Below are 18,807 nucleotides of genomic sequence, written 5' to 3'. Positions count from 1 at the left end.
ATTCAAATGCCCAACATCAAATGGCCCCAGTGCAAACTCAGCCCCATGCTGTGTGGACAAGTGTGAATTTAATCCAGTGTGGATGTAGAACCCAAGTTCATTCTCTCCCCTTTCTCACTCTGTAGTCAGAGCCCTGGTATGTAGTGTGACTGGGACAAGACGTAGTGCTCAGGTGGAGTGAAGTCTCTCCTAACTAAGTAAGCTCCTGGCTGCCACAGCCTCCCAGGAGCAGACCCACTACCTCCTCCTCTCCCTTCCTCCCCTTTCTCCACGCACTCTCCAGCGCCTGCAGCAAAAGGGGCAGCCTGGGTCCAACAGAGGCTTTTTGATGGGGAGGCTGCTTTTCGCATGTTTATTTTCAGAACAGGGTAGGTGCTTAATAACTGTTCACTGAACTAAGCAAGTGATGATTCCTAATCTAAAATATAGATCTTGCCAAAAATGGGAGTCAGGTTTATGCCTGCCACTCCTTGTTCACCAGTTTCCATGATCTCTCAGTCCCAACACCTTTAGGCATCTGGGGATGAGAAGTCCAAGGTACACCTTGGCAGGGCATCCTTCTCCTGGAGCTGGAGTCTCTCTCCCAGAACTAGTCATGCAGTGTTTGGTGTTTGTTAAAGAGAAAGCAGGTGTATGTGTGCATGCATGAGTGTGTATGGATGTGTGCATGGGCATGTGTGGGGGTGTGCATGTGTGTACATGAGCGTGAGCGTGAGTGCATGTGTATGGGTGTGTGCTTATGTGCATGTCATATCTCTATGTATCTTCTGAGTCCAGCACTGTTTTTATCCTCAACACCCCCTGCCTCCCTTTGGAACAGAGGTCTCCTCAAGCTGGGATATCTTTGGGGTTTTCAGTTCTTTCGTTGCCTTCAGCCAGGATCTGAACCTGAACCCAGCTGTGGCTGTGCTCCCTCCTGAGCTGGGATCTTGCAGGGCACTCCGTGCTCTGGGAGGAGTAACAGGGGCAAGTGACTCCTAAGACAGGATGAACAGCTCTTCTTAGTAAGCCCTTTCTCAGCCCCTTTCCTCCCTTGGGCCAGCAACCAGCCTGTTTTCCTTTGAGACCCTGTGCTTGGTTTTGACACTGTGTTGCATGAGTCACTGCTATTGGGAACTCTCTTTTTCCAGTGGTTCCTGTGGAGCCCACAGACACCAGCCTGACAGCCCTTTCAGGAGAAGGTGAGCCAGAAGGGGCTAGTGTGGAACCCAAAGACACACAATGAGAGTGGGGAGGGACTATACACGTTTAAACAACCAGATCTCACAAGAACTCACTATCACAAGAACAGCACCGAAGGGATGGTGTGAAACTATTCATGAGAAATCCATCCCCATGATCCAATCACCTCCCACCAGGCCCCATCTCCAACACTGGGGATTACATTTCAACATGAGATTTGGGTGGGGACACATATCCAAACTATCTCAGTTAATATTTTAGGCTTTGTGAGCCACAGGGTCTCTGTCACAGTTGCTCAGCTCTGCTACTGTAGCATAAAAGCAGCACAGACAACCCCTAAATTAATGCAAGTGACTGTGTTCCAATAAAACTTTATTTATGAAACAGGCTGAGAGCTAGTCTATCATTCACTAATCCCTGAAAGGGGATGATTACACCTATCCTTTAGAGTGGCATAAGGATTAAATGAGAGCAAGCATGGGGAGATTCTAGATCAGTATCTTCTCCCAGGTGTGGCTATAAAAAACAGCACACACTATCAAATCATAGGCTGGATACTGGGCAGCTTGCTTAAAATACATAATCTAATTTAATGCTTATACACGCCTATGGAATAATTGCTACAGCCTCCATTTTAAGACAGGTGATCGAGATTCAGAGATGAATTGTCTAAGACACAGACCTGAGTGGCAAAGCTGCGATTAGAGACTTTTTCCTTCTAAACTCTCTCTTAAGCTTCCTTCCCACAGGGACCTGTTCCAAACCTCAGGGAAATAATGGCCCTTCACCCCTGAAGATGGCATTTGCCGGTCTTTGTGCCTAAACACAGGCCTGGCTCTAGTCTGGCCCCTTTCCTACTGAATTGAGACCTTGGTGAACACCATTGTGCAGCCATATGCCCTGATCGGATTACCCTAAGCCTCCTCTCTTACATCCTCAGCCCCCAAATCTGTTTCCCCTGTTTGGCTTTGGCACCTAGCTGAACTGATCATTAAAATCGGGTGATTTCTGTTCACAGTGGCTGCAGAGACTGAGGCTGACAGACTGATCACTCTCTCCAAGAAAAGTAAGCAGAGGGGAATTTGGAAAAGGACAGCCTGGAATCCAGTGGAGAAATATTTCAAATATCTAAAAATCTGTGCTCAGTCCTGTGACCACTTCTTAATGGAACCTGAAATAAATATTATTATACCCATTTTACAGAATATGTAGGAAACTGAGGCTCAGGAAGAATAAAAGTTGCAAGTCACTCAGCAAGTAACTTGGGCTGTTCTCCAAGCCCAGACTTTAGGCTGTAAGACTATTTCTTTCCTTTATAAAATAGTGGCTCATAGAGAACACTGTCTTCCCTAAAAATATCTAGGCCAAAATTTCATCAGCAGAGTTAACCTAACCATTTACTCTGCTTTTGTAAATAACTATGGATCCTTTATTAATAAGCATAAATCAATGATAATTATTTGCCAATTACTTAGAATGAATAAGTAAGTAAATGGGTTCTTTGGTTAACGAGCAGTGATCTTGTTGAGGGCCTCCTATGTGCCAGCATATCATTCCCAAGCCCCTTACAAACATCCTCTGAATTAGTCTTCCCTGGTCCTTGGAGGCCTATCCTCATTTTACAGACAAACAAGAAGCTCTGAGAAGTAGAGTCATTTGCCCAGGGTAGTTCAGCTTGATAGTCCTTTCGTTCTGAGTCTATAGGTTTTGCTTTTGAATAGAACAATCTGCCCCAGTTTAGAATGGTCCAGAATCTCCCTCTTTCATGGAGCATTTGTGTCCATATCAGTCAATTTCAAAGCCTGGTTTTCATAGAACACTAGCATAGTCTTGATTTTTGAATACATTAAACTTAAGGTAGTTTCTGTCTTTCCAAAGAACTTAGTAGTCACCATCTCTAACATTTTTTCGTGTGGCACAGCCAGAAGTGAAATAGTCTGCCTAGTGGTTAAGCATACCAACTTCAACCAGGCTTCTTGGGTTTGCAGCCGCCTCCTAGCTCTGTGACCTTGGAAAAGGGACCTAACTTTTCTGTGTGTCTCCTTTCTCATCTCTGAATGAGGGTGAGCATAGAACCAACTCAAGGGGCTGTGGTAAGTTAATATAAGAAGCCCTTGCTGCCATACCTAGCATGTAGTAGGAGCTTAATAACTGTCAAATAACAATAACAACAAATTCAGTTTACAGAGAAACTGAGGCTCAGTGGTTTTCCTGGAGTCACATAGCAAACAACTTCAACCACGCAATTCTGCTGTCTCTGTGCTGCAATGCTCCTCTGTTCCAAAATGTACTTTTCTTTTAGTTTTTCTCCGAATTCTAAAGAAGCTGTCATTCCCAAAGTATTTGCACTAACTCACTTGCTTCCAGCCTGACAAGCTGTGGCTGCATTTGCCAGCAAGCGTTTTTCTGGGGGGTTCCCTTTGGCTCAGCAGCAGCCCTGGTCTCACCAGCTCTCTTAGGAAATCTCATGGTGGGAAGTGGGCCAGGGGCAGAGTGAAGAGCACATGGCTGCCTGTGTGCAGTGGGTGGGAAGAGCCTCTGGAAACCCAGGTGGGACAGGCTGGGGTGGATGCTCATGCTGTCTCTCTTCTTTGGGGAACAGAAGCAGGCCACGATCAGGAAGGAGTGGGAGCTGCTAGGGCTACGTCCCCTCCAGGTAAGCCTACTGGGCTCCACCTGCCTATGTTCATGACACATTTATGTCCTTTGTCCTTGACACATTTATGATATCAACTGGGTTCCAAATGAAATGCACCATGACCTTGTCAGCATGGGAGGTGATGGGGCAAGAATCGGAAGCATTTATTCCCCAAATGTGGCAGCTGGTCCAGGGAGGGTGATTAACACCAAACACCCTGATCTAAAGAGAGTGAGGGGATCTCAAATTAGATTAGCACCAATAATTCAGAAAGTTCCTCCTCAAGAGGTGAGGGCTACTGGCTATTCAGACTCAGCAGAGAGCAGACACTGGGCTCTGGGATCTCCTTTGGCTTGTAGAACGTTCTAGCTGGAGAGTCTTAATCCTGGATTAGATGTATGGCTATTTTCTCATTCACTGAGCAGTTCTGATAGCTACTACTGACTATTTCCTAATTGCTAGGCATTTAGCTAGAAGGATTATTCAAACACCAAAAGAGGTATTATTAATATAATTTTACAAATGGAGAAATTAAGATTTAGAGAGGTGAAGTGATTTGCCCAGGGTTATGTATCTAGTACATAGCTAAGCTAAAACTCAAACTCAGATTTCTTTAACACTAACTCATGAACTCTTTCTACTCTATTACACTGACTAGGTGAGTTTCCAGCAGTGGAGAACATGATAGAAAGAAATTAGATAACTTGCTTCTATTTGTGGGATTGGAGAACTGGGCAGGATGTTAAACCTAGGAGACTGAGATTACAACAGGGCTTTAGTCTCATAGGAAATGGAGTTGAGTAAGAGGAAGTAGATGACCAGATGCACGAAGCAAACCAATATGGTGGATTTGGGGAAAGACTGCAATCCAGCGGGCACAAATATGCCAGACCTTACCCAATACTCCAGGAACTGAGCCTGGGTCAGCAGATTGGTGGGGCTGAGCCTGCTGCTGTTCTCTTTCCCTGTACTGGGAAGGCTGGAGATTTGGCCTGTGCATGGGAGACTTTGCTGCCTCCAGCTAAGAGGGCAGGTGAGACTGACACATCAGAGCAAAGGGAGATCCAGAGAGAGTGTCAGGCAGGCGGTAAGAGATGTGATGGCAAGGCAGGTAGGACCAGGTCACAGGCAATCCTTGCAGACCACAGGAAGGAACTTGCACTGGATTCTGTAAATAAAGAGAAGCTGTTACTGCACTTGAAAAAGGAAATAAGGGCTTCCAGGAGTTGTTTTGCTTGCCTACCTTGTTGTGTATCATGAGTCGCCTTAATTTCTCCATCAGTTTCTTTACCTCTTCACTTGCTGTGAGCGCCATAATGCCCCTTCACTGGGCAGGCATGTGATACTAAACATGACACAAACACAAGCCTGGGAGCCTCAGAGTCCTCATCCCTGGGATGTCATCCAGGTGGTCTAGCACAGGCTCCCGACAGTGTTAAGGTTATCATAGAAAATATGGAAATTCTCATGTAGAATTCTTAAGACTCTGCCTGGACATCTGCAAACCCAGTTTGAGGAACATTCTCCTAACACTATGTTGTTCTATCTGTTTGCATTTGGCTTTCGTATGTCCATCTGCAAATCTCTCCTTGAGCCACTTTTTGAATCCGAATCATGAAGTTTTTCATTTTCAGGATCTGCAGAGATAGTTGCAACAAGGGTTACAGCTAAAATTGTAACCCTTGTCCCTGCTGGCATTAAATCTCTGGGGCTGGCAGTGTCATCTGTTGAAAATGATCCTGAGGAGACCACTGAAAAAGGTGAGCAGAAGCAGTGTCTGTCCTCTCCGCTGCTGGGATCTTTTGGTGAGGCTGTGAACAATCACCGTAGGCCACCTTTTCACACTGTGACCTTCTCATGGGGGTGTGATGAGAAGACATCATCCCCCTGACTGCATGAGCACCTTGAGGCTCAGAGGAGATGTAAGCTGCCTGTAGCCACTCAGCCACTGGGAGGCTGAGCCTGGGGGGAGGAGCCACTGTCTTCTGAGCCCCTGACCTTGTGCTGCCACCACTTTTACTGGCCCAGAGGGAAAGAGCTTGGCTTCGTCCACACCGTGCTTTATTGGAAAGCATGAAGCACTTGGGTTTTGAACATCTTCCCCCTTTGTCTCTCCTCCCTCTGATGCCTTAAAAAAGCCCCTGCACCTGCAAGGAGGCCACGGCCTGTTGGGCATACAGAGGAGGGGCTTTGTTAGTATCTGGGTGTGCCTTCCATGATGTCCAAAGCAGAGCTATGGAGAAAGCTGCATTTGAGATTTGTGGACAGAGGAGGAAGGATAGAAGGAAGAGAAATAGAGACAGAGAAAGAGAGGGGAGTGGGGAGACGGAGAGGCAGAGGAGAGAAAGGCAAGCCCAGCCAGGTGTGCTAACCTGATGCGACCAGAAACCATGAGAGTTCAGCTGGGATGCTCCCAGGATGCCAGGTCTACTCAGTAATAAGATGTGGCCCCAAACAGCATCTTGGGTCCTGACAAGTCTCCATCCCTTAAGGGGATTTAATAAGGAGTCTTATAGAGCATTAGAAGCCTAGGGAGAAAAGACTTGCTCTCCGAAAGACAATGCATCCCAAGCAGGGGATGAGCCATAACAGCTTTCCCAGAAGAATGGTGAGCCAACGAGTAAGACATGGGGTTCCTTTGCATGACTAGAGTTGTCCACATACAACCCGGAGGCTCACATGGCCTTCCTGTTGAGACAGCTGCCCCGACAGTCCTTGCTCTCCTGACAATTCCTGTTCCTTTCAGCCTGTGACAGATTCACCTTCCTGCACCTGGGAAGTGGGGACAACATGCAGGTGATGCCACAGCTTGGAGAGATGCTCTTTTGTCTGACATCCCGGTGCCCGGAGGAATTTGAGTCTTATGGCTGTTACTGTGGACAAGAAGGAAGAGGCGAGCCAAGGGATGACCTAGACAGGTATGGAGAGCCAGCGGTGACAGCTCTGGTGTAGTAGTGCTGATGCTGTCTGCACCAGAGGGTGGTGACAGCCCTCCTGGACACCAGGCTGAAACTTGGGCCTCACTAAATGCTTGGTGCACACAGCAGCTCACTCAGGTGGCTCTACAGCATCATAGGCCCACTTTCCTGGTGAGCAGCTGAGGCTCAGGGACTGACTTGTTTGAGGTCGTTCACCTTGGAAAAGGCAGAGCCAGAAAGATCCACATCTTTTGATCTGGGGGCCTAGAGCCCTTTCAGTACTTTGACAAATACTGCCCAGCTACCCCAAGAGGGCCAATCTGCAAATACCCTTCAAATGACCCCAAGTCCACCTAATTTGCAATAACCAACATGTAGAATTGAGGTCTCCACTTGGTTTTTCCTGCAGAAGGCCACATTAAAATTAGCCTTTTAAGTATAACTTTTCTCAACACCTTTTAAATATAACTGTAATTTCCATGTGTACCACTCTTGAAAGAATTTTCGTTGACCTCATGCACTTATTAATGTATTCATTCGTTTAAATATGCATCAAACCCATACCGCTTGAGCTTTTGCTCTGTGCCAGCCACTATGCCAGGTGGTAGAGATATAACAATGATTCAACCTTCACAAAGCAACATAAAACAAACTATTTTTGCCCAATGGAAGCTTATTTGATGAAAGAGATGGACAATTAAACAAAAGTACTACCCAATATAATAAATACAGTAGGGTAAACAGAGGAAACCATGGAGCACTCAACCTGAGTTTGAGGAATTTTCTCAAAGTAGCGTTGATCAAGTTTAAAGACTGCACATGGGGACAGCCCCTGTCCACGGCCAATGGAGAGACCTGCATTCAAAAGGCACATGTCCTTCTCGGATGGTATGGTTGCCAAAGCAAAATCAGCAGCTATTGATGAATTTTAGAAACACAGAAAGACAAAGCTTGTCATAGCTAACACAAAGGACACAGTAATGGCAGGAATATGGAGTATGTCAGCTGCAGGTTTGATGTGTGGGTGGCTGTGTTTTTTACCCATCCACTTTCTTTCCCCTGCCTCTACCTGTCAGCCATCCCGGCTTCATTATCCACCTCTGAGATTTTCAGTGAAGGAAATCCAGGCTCTGTTGCACAGTCAGCCTTCAAAACTTACCTCCCACCAGCGGACCCTAAAGAAGTTTTCACTCTAGCAAAGGTGATGTCACACTGTGCAGTCATAAGCATGTTTACATTCTGAGGTTCAACCGCATGCCTGCTGCTCTCCATGACAGAGGACAATTTAAATAGTGTCAAGGTTTTTGAGTACATAGCCCTCAATGAGACAAGGCAACAGATAGAAACAGCCAGTAGCAGTTTCTGTATTCTGTTGAACCCCTTGGGAAAAAGTGGGGATGATTTTGAAGGTGTTTCCTGATAACTGACCATATTTCACAAAAATATAAAATTTGACCAGTTGGGCAGGTAAGTTATGATATGGCTACTTCATATCTGCAGAAAGAAATTGAAAAACTTGAGGCCAACAGGAGAAAACTCTTCACTAAGGAAAAGTTAGTCAAACTGATATAATTTTTTTATAAGAATTTATTTTCAAGACCACATATACTGTACATGATGGACAATTTCAGTGATTTTATGAGTATTTTGATTTATATATGATTTCTGATCCACTCACTGACTTTAGATTTTAAGTATTATATCAAGTATCCATCCCCACCCATCCCTGCCAAATACACACACAAGATTGTGTGTCTCTTTTGTGCTAATAGCTGAAGGAGGTAGACGCTGAACTCTAGCCAGTGGCTATGTGAGCATACAAGGTGGATTGTTCCTCTGATTGCTAGCAATGCGGAAAAGTTAATAAGCAGATAATTGGTTGAGAAGAGGTGCAATAAAAAAGCCACAAGAGCCTACGACTTATCCCTGCTGGAGCTGTGGCCTCCCAGACAAAGTGAGAGTTATTAAAAGAAAGGGAAAAGTTGAAAAGGGAGTATTTGGGTAGCAACTGTAGCTCCCTATTGGCTGAAGTCATCATAAGTTTCTTAAGGATGTCCACCTGGCAAGGGGGGACACTGGATATTGTGAGGCCGTATCAGCCAAGATGGGTGGATATACAAAGAAGACATTGACTCATTTTCATGTATTTACGAGGTCCTGATCTATGCTGGACACTTTTCTAGATGCAGTTCTTTATTTATGCTCAGGATGGTTACTCTGCTCTTTTTTAAGGCTAGGGACAAATGACAGTGCACTGTGGATGTGAGATTAACTCCTCTGTGTCAAAGATTGGAGGGAGTAAGCTTACTGCTAGCCCATATGGTACCTTTGCATAAATTTAAAAGGGTACCCCTTCCTTAAGACTCTATTTCCATCTGTTAGAAAATCGTTTAAATAAATATGTAAATAACCTATCTTTGCCATGAACAGTTACAATAAAAATCAAAAATAATGTTTTTAAATAATAAGATGCATACAATATAAGTGATGCCGCCTTAGACGTGGCCTTTGTGCAGTATACAACCCGAATAACCATACACGACGGCCCTTGGTGTGTATATGAGTCAGCCCTGTGTGCACTGGAAAGGAGGCACTGGCTTCCCTCACTACTATAGGGTATGTGGGAGAAGCAGGCTGTGCTTGAGGGGGTTCCTAGGGAAGCCAGGAGCTCTGAGAAGTAAAGGGTTTTCCTTGGTCTTAGGTGCTGCTTGTCCCATCACTGCTGCCTAGAGCAAGTGAGAAGGCTGGGCTGCCTGCTTGAGAGGCTTCCTTGGTCACCGGTGGTGTGTGTGGATCATACGCCCAAGTGTAAGTGCTGTTGGTTGCACATTGAGTTATTATTTCATTGAGGTCAGCATCGTGACTGTAGCTCAGACTTGTGGATGGTTTCCCAAGCACTTAACTGTGACTTAATACTCTTTTCTTCTTTCTTTCTTTTCCTTCCTTCCTTCCCTTCCTTCCTTCCTTCCTCTTTCCTTCTTTCCTTTTCTTTCTTTCTTTTCCTTCCTTCCCTTCCTTCCTTCCTCTTTCCTTCTTTCCTTTTCTTTCTTTCTTTCTTTTTCTTTCTTTCTTTCTTTCTTTCCTTCTTCTTTCTTCCTCTCTTTCTTTCTTTCTCTCTATCTCTCTCTTCCTTTCTTCCTTCCTTTCTTTCTTTCTCTTTCTTTCTTTCTTTCTGTCTCTCTTTCTTTCTTTCTCTTTCTTTCTTTCTGTCTCTCTTTCTTTCTTTCTTCCTTCCTTCCTTTCTTTCCTTCCTTCCTTCCTTCCTCCTTCCCTCCTTCCCTCCTTCCTTCCTTCCTTCCTTCCTTCCTTCCTTCCTTTCTTTCTTTCTTTCTTTCTTTCTTTCTTTCTTTCTTTTCTTTCTTTCTTTTTCTTTTTCTTTCTTGATGGTGTTTCACTCGGCCACCAGGCTGGAGTACAGCGGTACAATCTTGGCTCACTGCAACCTCTAACCCCCTGATTCCAGCGATTCTCCTCCCTCAGCCTCCCAAGTAGCTGGGATTACAGGCATGTGCCACCATGTCCAGCTAATTTTTGTATTTTTAGTAGAGACGGGGTTTCACCATGTTGGCCAGGATGGTCTCTATCTCCTGACCTTGTGATCTGCCCACCTCGGCCTCCCAAAGTGCTATGATTACAGGCATGAGCTACCATGCCCGACCAATACTCTTCTTAATGTTGAGGCACGTATTATCATACCTCTTCCACTGATGAGGAGATTCACTGTCAAGGGGGTGAGCTGCCTAAGTCACAGGGCCGGTGACGAGCAGGCTGGGACTAACGTAAATAGCCCAAGCTTACTGATTCTCAGCTCTTAATGTATGTTAACAGAATTAATCCTCAAAACAGTATCCCGAGGTAGCACTATTATTCTTCCCATTTAGCAGGTAAGGCAACTGAGGCCCAAGATCACACAGTTAGAAATAAGTGGGAGAACTGAGATTTGAATTGTAAAACCATATCATTTCAGAACTAAAGCTGATTCTTCACCACACCAGTGAGTTTCCAAGTAAATTTTTTCTTTTTCTAAGAAACAGAGTCCTTTTCCCAAGGAAGACTTGAGGAATACTATTTTAAAATGGGGGACTGGCCCTGGCTGAAGAGCAAGGCGTGCCTGCAGCTCCACTCCTCTCTATGGTAGAAACCAGAGGCTCCTCTGTATCCCTTCAGGGCCTCAGGCAGGGACCACTCTGAAAACTGCAATCCCCATGAGCAGGCCCCTGATAGCAAATGGAGACTTGCTGTAGAATTGACTTTATCTGCATTCTCCAGCTCCATTTCCTCATTCATATCGGTGGATGCATTTCCCTTATGCTTTGCAGTTTAAAAGGAAAGACTTGCCCTAGAATTTCACAGAGGCCCTATAAGAGTTTGTTCTCATTTTCATTTTCGTCTGGGGCAGCCCACTGGCTGGACCTTCCATCCCTTCTTCTTCCTCTACACAACCTCAGCACAGTGCATGGACTGCCATATTATCTTGCCTTGTACGATCAGGTATGTCTGTCACATCCCAGGAGCTTTGTGTTTACATATCACTCTCTCATTCATTCACTCATTCATCCGTTCATTCTATTATCCACTTAACCAACAAACCTTCACCAGGAACCAGGAAAACAATGAACTTTCATGATCCTTGCCTCAAATTGCTCACAGCTTGGACGGAAGTGATGTAGGCAAGCGACTAACTATTCTAATCTCATGTAGTATGTACTAACAGTTAGCACAGGGGCCCTGGGAATGTGGGTAAAGGCACTTGAGTCTACAGTATGGCAGTGAGAACAGGATAATTTGGGAAAAATTCAAGAGAGGTGTGAGATGAGATTTACCACATTCCCAGATGGCCATACTGGGCATGGATATTCCAAGCAAAGGGAAAAGGGAAAAATGGTGGTGTTTAGGGAATGCTGGGCAGTGTAGGGACAACTGAGCTGTGGTTCTGTATTGCTGGAACAGAAAGTGGAAGTGGGAGGCCCAGTTGTAGTGCAAGGTGAGGTTGAGGAGACAGACAGGTGCCAGATCATGAGCCCAAGAAACCCATTTGCAAGACTGAAGCATTTCCATTTTTTCCTATAGGGGATGAGGAGCCAGGGGAGGGTTTAGAGCCCATGAGTTGTCACATGATGCAATCATGCCAGGAGGTCTCACCTGCTGGGCTGAAGCCTTGCTCTCCCTTCCTCCAATATCACAGAATCCAGGAACACTGCATCTGAAGATTGAACTGATTCACAGCTTCAGTAAACCAGTTCTGACCCTCTGTGAGATTTAAGGATAGCCTCCTGTACCAGATGCCAGGTATTAGTTGATGAGAAATGAGGGCATCTCAAATCCTGGCCTGTGCTATCATAAGACAAATGCAGGGAGGAAGGACAGAGTGGCTCTGGGGAACAGGACCTCTGCATGTCTCCACTGTGCTCTCACACTTGGTACATTTTCCTCCTCTTCTTGTCACTTCCTGCTGCTGAAATGCAACTGGCATGTCTGGGGCTGACGTGGAGACCAAGTTAGGAGGCTTGGAAGGCCTCTGTGGTATATGATAGGAAAAAATCTGGTTGATGAACATTTCAAAGTAGGATTAGATGCCAAAAAAATCCCTTAGCTTCATTGAAAACCACAGATAACAAGGATAATATTTGTAGAAACTTATGTATGTGTAGAACCTTCAAAGATATTATTTCATTTGAGTCACACCACTCCCACTGCATGCAACTCATACATTGAAAAAAATAGGGTTGGTTTGCCAGATCTAGCAAATAAAAATACATGATGCCCAGTTAAATTTGAATTTCAGATAATCAATGAACTTTTTTTTGTATAAGTATGTCCTAAATGGAAGTACATTCAAACGTATTAACTGAAATTCAAATTTAACTGATCATCTATATTTTATCTGGTAATATGAATGATGAATAGGGAAATTCTGGCCCAGAGAAGGAAGAAGTAACCATCAAATCTAACACATATTTCCTTAGCACTAACTTGGGAAATATTTTTCAAGGTTTGAGTTAGGTGCTTGGACTCTGCTCTGTCAGCAGGGTTCTCTGTCCAGCAGTGCTACTGGCAGCAAATCCAGACAGGCTCTGCAGTCCTTGATCCTTCTCTTCTTGGGAGAAAGAATTCAGCCAAGAGACAGAAGTACATCTAAGGCAGAAAAAAGAGTTTACTGAAGCAAAGTAAAGTACACTTGGAAGGGGCCAAGCAGGCAACTTGAAAGATTTGAGTGTCCTGCCTGATGGTTGGCTCAGGGCTCTTACAGATTTACTATTTCCTGTCTTTTTCCCTCAATCTTTTCCTTTCATCCCTCCCCCGGGGCAGGCTGTTAGCTAATCACTGCATGCACAATGACTTGCCAGTATCTAGGAAGGGTCACAGGCACCCTTTGCTGGTTGAAGTTTTGTGCATACTCTGTTAGGGCAATTTCCCCTTACTGGTCTAGCACCCTCAGAAGAAGGGAATAGATGGGTCAAATGCTGCCAATTTTCCCCTTACTGTGCATGCCTGGACATGTCCCCAGAGGAAAGTCAAACTCGCCATTTTAAGTTTTTATTGGGAAGTTGCCCACAAGCTCAAGGTATCTCTTGTTTGTTAGGAAATTTTCTCATCTCTGTTGCCAGCTGCCTTACAATTGCCTGACAGTCACCTGACAGTTGCCTGATATTCTTTGGGGCCCTATCCTGCCCTGCTCATATCTGCCTATCTACCTACTGTAACACCAGGAGTAAAAAATGGATACATAAACAGACAATGACTATACAATGTGATTAACACATAACCTGCAGTGATAGAAAAAAACACGAAGTGGGATTCCATGGGAGCCCACAGGAAAGACACTTCCCTTAGCCTGGCAGCTCAGGCAAACTTTCTGGAGGAGGGGAAGCCAGCCTAGTCTTGACAGACACCAGTTGAGAGCATTGACAGCATTCCTGGCAGAGGGATCATTCCCAGCAGGAGGAGAAAGTTGGAAAATTACCAGCCATATAAGGTGGATACCCTGAAGGTGTGTGGAAGATGGGGAGGAAGGAGAAGGGCTGAGGGGTGGCCAGGGCCGTGGGGCCTCCCAGTGCCATCCTCAGAGGTCTCATGGCTTCTACTCTGCTCTTTCCTTCTAAGGTGGGGGCCAAAGCCTGTGTGAGAAGTTGCTCTGTGCCTGTGACCAGACGGCAGCTGAGTGCATGACCTCTGCCTCCTTTAACCAAAGCCTCAAGTCCCCAAGCAGACTCGGGTGCCCTGGGCAGCCAGCAGCCTGTGAAGACAGCCTGCACCCTGTGCCCGCAGCCCCCACCCTGGGCTCCAGCTCTGAGGAGGACAGCGAGGAGGACCCTCCACAGGAGGACCTCGGCAGAGCCAAGAGGTTTCTGCGGAAGTCACTGGGTCCCTTGGGGATCGGGCCTCTTCATGGAAGATAGATGCCCAGAGAAAATGGCTAACACCTTCAGTAGCGTGGCTCCTGCTCCACCTTCAGCTCTTTATCTCTCAGCCTCCTCTGTCCCTTGGAGCCTTCTTCCCTTCCTTTAACTCAGAGGCGGGGAGGGAACAGAGGCCGTGAGCCCTGCCCATGCCTCATCAGCTGTGGTCACCTCACAAGCCAATGTACACTTGGAGAAGGCACACCATGGTACCTCCATGCTCCTTTAGTGCACTGTGGAAGCTCAATAAATACTCCAATCAACATGCTCTGATTGTTTTGCTTTTAAGACATGTTTAGATACTGTCTCATGAGTAGATTATAAAAGTGAGATGGAGACAATGGAGGAAAAAATACCTCAACTTCCTAATCACTGAAAGCTACTTCTCCTTTTCTTAAAAAAAAAAAAAAAAAGAAAAAAGAAGAGAGCATATTTTATCAATCTTATGAGATTACCCGTGGGCCACCAATAACCCACCAATGCCGAGGACTGAGATGGCAGCTTTTCTGGTGTGTGCCCTAAAAAATACACTTGGCAGCCTAAGAGAGTGGCCCTGTGTCACAGCCACCACCACGAGAAATCACTGATCACCCAGTCCTGGGTCCTAGACTTCATTTTTTAAAAATAGGGTTTATCTCAGTGGTTAGAAGTTCCAGGGATGCAGGTGCCCATTCTGACATAGGCAGTTTAATATTATGGTGATTAAAAAAAACTTAAATGCCATTCATCCATCCATGTATCCACTCACCCACCCAATAGTTATTGAGCTTTTATGGTGTACCTGGCAAAAGGCAATGTTCTACCAGAACTGCCCTTAATATTCTATGGGGACACAAACTCTTTGGTTCCTGTCACATCTGTGGTTCCTATCACATCTGTGGTTCTCAACCCCCATACATCAGGTAGTGAGAGGATATTTCCTTTTCTCCCTCTCCTCAGACAGGAAAGCAGAACTTCTAAAGAGCTCAGTGTTTGCTGACTTTCATGGCATGAAAATATCCCAAGGTTGGCAACACCTTAAGTAATCAAAAGATCATGGTGCCAAACCAACAGTTGATACCCTTCCCTATCTTCTAGGGAAACCATGTGATAATATTTTTTTTTATGAATACAACACACTGGAATCTTTTCAACAACATGACCTTAACTACTAGCCTAAGTTTGGGTTGTCCCAGAAGTAGACCCTTAAACGAGGACTTGAGGGCACATAGTTTATTTGGAAACTGAAGAAGACACTGTGAGGAGAGTGAAGAAATAGGAAAGGAAAGGAAAGGCAGCCAATGAATGTGGTTTATCAAGCCAAATACCACTGTGGGGGCCTAGACCACTTCCCATTAGAAGTGCCATCCAAGACTTTGGGAGCCAGGATAGGATGCACATTTCAAAGTCATCTCATCCAAAGGAAAAAAGTGGAATACACACACACACACACACACACACACACACACAGAGAGAGAGAGACAGACAGACAGACAGACAAGCAGAGACAAGCAGAGACAGTGAGAGAGAGGGATGGAGGGAGACAAACTTCCATCAGTCATTGCTCCTGACGAGGGTGCTATTTCCTCCTGGCCTGCTGCACAGTTGGGGGCAAAGTGGGCTCTGGTGGCCAGAGAAGTCTTTAGGCAAAGAAATGCAGGTGTCAGCAGCTGGCAATCAGCCAGCGTGCACTAAGATGGCAAGGATGGAGGCATGCCCCATGGCATTTGCTGCAAGTAATAAATTGATTGTTGCCTGGCTCCTTCTTCCCTCCCTTTAATCAAGGAGGAATTGACTAAGGGTCCACTCACCGTGGCTATCACTGTGTTAAGTCACCCACAGTATGATGACCATCTGCCTTCTCCACATCTTCACTAGAGGCAGCTGAATGTGACTGGAGGGAAAAAATGAAACTGAGCTGAGCCATTTCACTTCAAGTTTACAACCACGAAACCTCAAATGGATGCTCAGCCTTTTCCTAACCAGTTGACTCTTCTGCTCTCCAGGACAACTGTTTGGTATCTTCTCTTCTGCCCTCAAACTCCCCTTGCCTCCCCCTCACTCTCAATTGATGACTCAAGAACTTTGAAGAATTTGAAATTTTACCTTACTTACAACCTTACAAGTTTGTGTTTCATGGATGCTGGCCAAAGACCTGAGATGCTTGGGTCAGAGACAAAGGACTTTGTTACTTACAGCAATGACAGTAACCTGAGTCCCAGCATTTATGTTGCTTTCCTGAAACCTGAAGCAGTGCAGAGAGGGCCAGGGGACACCTACACATGCAGTGCTTTTAATTACACAGGAGAATGCTGAATTTAGGGAACCTCGATGTTTTATAATGGGCTTTAAGACTGCCTGTCTTATATCCCAGAAGGAGACATTATCTTTATAATACAGGAAAATAAGTATGTCTGCCTATGGAGCCAAAGGGAAACATTATCCCTACCTTCCCTGTCTGTTTGCTGTACCGCATCCTTGAAAAGTTAGTCCAGAATAAAGGTAGTTAATGTCTCAGCTCACAAGACATGCAGAAATGCAAGAGACACATGGAGAATTGTTTAGTACAATTCTCATCTAATACTCATCTAATTAGATCTCATCTAATACTCTATTGAGATAATTGAAACTTTCCAGTGGGAATACCTTCGTCTTCCTGCCATCAAAACTACAAAATTCCCTGCATAGTCTTTCTCTTCCTTCTTGTTACAATGAGGTAAGTTTTCCTTTTCCTTATCAAAGGTCAAATTCTCCACCTATCATCTAGTACAATGCCCTGTTGCCTTCTCTAGGGTTTGATTCCTGCAAATATCTCCTCTTTGTTCTATATCAATCTCTCTCTCTCTTCTATATCACTCTAATCTGTGTAAAAACACAGCCTAAATTCTCCCATCTATAAAAATCCCTCCCTTGACTCTACATTCTGCTTTAGATATCACCCCCCATTTATTTATTTGTTCTCATAAGACAACTTCTCAAAAAATGTTTACATTCCCCGTCATCTTTTCAATCAGGCACATAACATCATTCAACAGAAACTGTTCCTGTCAAAGTCACAAATGACCTCCATATGCTGCTTGAACCATTGGACACACGTCTGTTCTCATCTTAACCTTCCAGCATAATTCCACACTGACCACTCCTTCCTTCTTCAACATTTTCCTGTTACCAGTAATGACTACACATTCTACTAGTTTTCATTCTACCTTTTTGGTTACTTTCCCTCAGTCTTCTTTGCTTATTCCTCTTTCTTTAGCAACCCTCTAAATGTTAGTGTACTTTAGGGCTCAGCCCTAGGCATCATAAAAGAAAAATTTTGCACTAGACACTTGTTAAAATGGCAAGGCAGATTTTATTCAGTACTATTGCAGTAGAGGAGAGACCTCTGGGCAACTTCAGCTCAACTCTGCGATAACAAAAGGTGAGAGGCCTTTTTTCAGGTATACAATACAATATTGTAAATTACTGTCCCCATGCTGTACATTAGATCTCTAGAACTTATGTTGCACAATTGAGACTTTGTATCCTTTGACCAACATCACACCATTCTTTCCTCCCTTAAGTCCCTCTTCTCTGCTTCTACAGGTTTGAGAATTTTAGATTTTACATATAAGTGAGATTGTGCAGAATTTTTCTGTGTCTGGCTTGATTTACTCAGCGTAATGACTTCTAGCTCCATCCATGCTGTCACAAATGGCAGGATTTTCTTTTTGTGGATGTAGCTGAATATTTCATTGTGCATATATACACCACATTTTCTTTAATCATTCATCTGTCAAAAAATATTTAGGTTGTTTCCATATGTTGACTATTGTGAATAATGCTGCAGTGAACACAGGAGTGCAGATACCTCTTTGAAGCCTATTTTTAAAGCCTTTGGATATCTATATCTATCTATATCTATATCTATAGAGAGGAGTGGGATTGCTGGGTCATATAGCAGTTCTATTTTTAATATTTTGAGGAATCCCTATACTGTTTTCCATAATGGCTGTACCAATTTAAATTCCCACCAGAAGTATAAAAGAGTTCACTTTTCTACACATCATCACCAACACTTTTTTGTATATTTGATACTAACCACCATAACAGATTTGAGGTGATATTTCATTGTGGTTTTGATTTGCATTTCCCTGATGATTATGAATGTTGCACACTGTTTTATATGCTTTGTTGGCCATATGAATGTCTTCTTTTGAGAACTGTCTATTTAGCTCCTTAGCCAATTTTTAAACTAGATTATTTGTATTTTTAGTATTGAGTTATATGAATTCCTTATATATTTTGGATACAAACCAAAATGTTTAAGAATATATTTTTTCTCACACTTTGTAGGTTGTCTTTTTACTCTGTTGTTTACTTTGGTATGCAGAAACTTTTTCATTTGACATAGTCCACTTGATTATTTCTGCTTTTGTTGCCTTTGTTTTTGGGTCATCTCCAAAAAAATTATTGCCAAGATCAATGTCAAGAAGGTTTTTCATATATTTTCTTCTAGGATAGTGTCAAGTTTTATGTCTAAGTCTTTAACTCATTTTGGGTTGATTTTTGTGTATGGTGTGAGATATGGCCCTAAGTTCTTTATTTTTTCAATGTGTATATCCAGTTTTCCAAACACCATTTGTTTCCTTTCCCCATTGCGTGTTCTTAGTACTCTGGTATAAGATCAGCTGACCATTAGTTTGTGCAT

General features: G+C 44.2%; 1 protein-coding gene across 1 annotated transcript in view, besides 1 other annotated feature; it reads left to right on the top strand.

Annotated features, from left to right (window-relative positions):
* OC90 (otoconin 90) overlaps positions 1-14,403 on the top strand; it is a 35,167-nt gene extending 20,764 nt beyond the window's left edge. The window contains exons 9-14 of the mRNA NM_001080399.3: positions 1,131-1,181; positions 3,785-3,838; positions 5,455-5,580; positions 6,567-6,738; positions 9,440-9,546; positions 13,843-14,403. Coding sequence (NP_001073868.2) covers positions 1,131-1,181; positions 3,785-3,838; positions 5,455-5,580; positions 6,567-6,738; positions 9,440-9,546; positions 13,843-14,138 — 806 coding nt within the window. The 3' untranslated portion in view covers positions 14,139-14,403. The remainder of the gene's footprint in view (positions 1-1,130; positions 1,182-3,784; positions 3,839-5,454; positions 5,581-6,566; positions 6,739-9,439; positions 9,547-13,842) is intronic.
* Positions 12,816-14,015: an enhancer, noted in NCBI's record as "MED14-independent group 3 enhancer chr8:133036851-133038050 (GRCh37/hg19 assembly coordinates)". NCBI's record gives its function as "activates an origin of replication core promoter dependent on BRD2, BRD4, P300/CBP and CDK7 cofactors, and independent of MED14, by STARR-seq in HCT116 cells {active_cell/tissue: HCT116}" and the evidence as "EXISTENCE:reporter gene assay evidence [ECO:0000049][PMID:35650434]".
* Positions 14,404-18,807: the final 4,404 nt, after the last annotated feature.

This window comes from Homo sapiens, chromosome 8 (assembly GCF_000001405.40).
Source record: "Homo sapiens chromosome 8, GRCh38.p14 Primary Assembly".
Taxonomy (NCBI): Eukaryota; Metazoa; Chordata; class Mammalia; order Primates; family Hominidae; genus Homo; species Homo sapiens.
The sequence above is the reverse complement of the archived record's forward strand: the minus strand, read 5'-3'. Positions and strand labels throughout refer to the sequence as shown.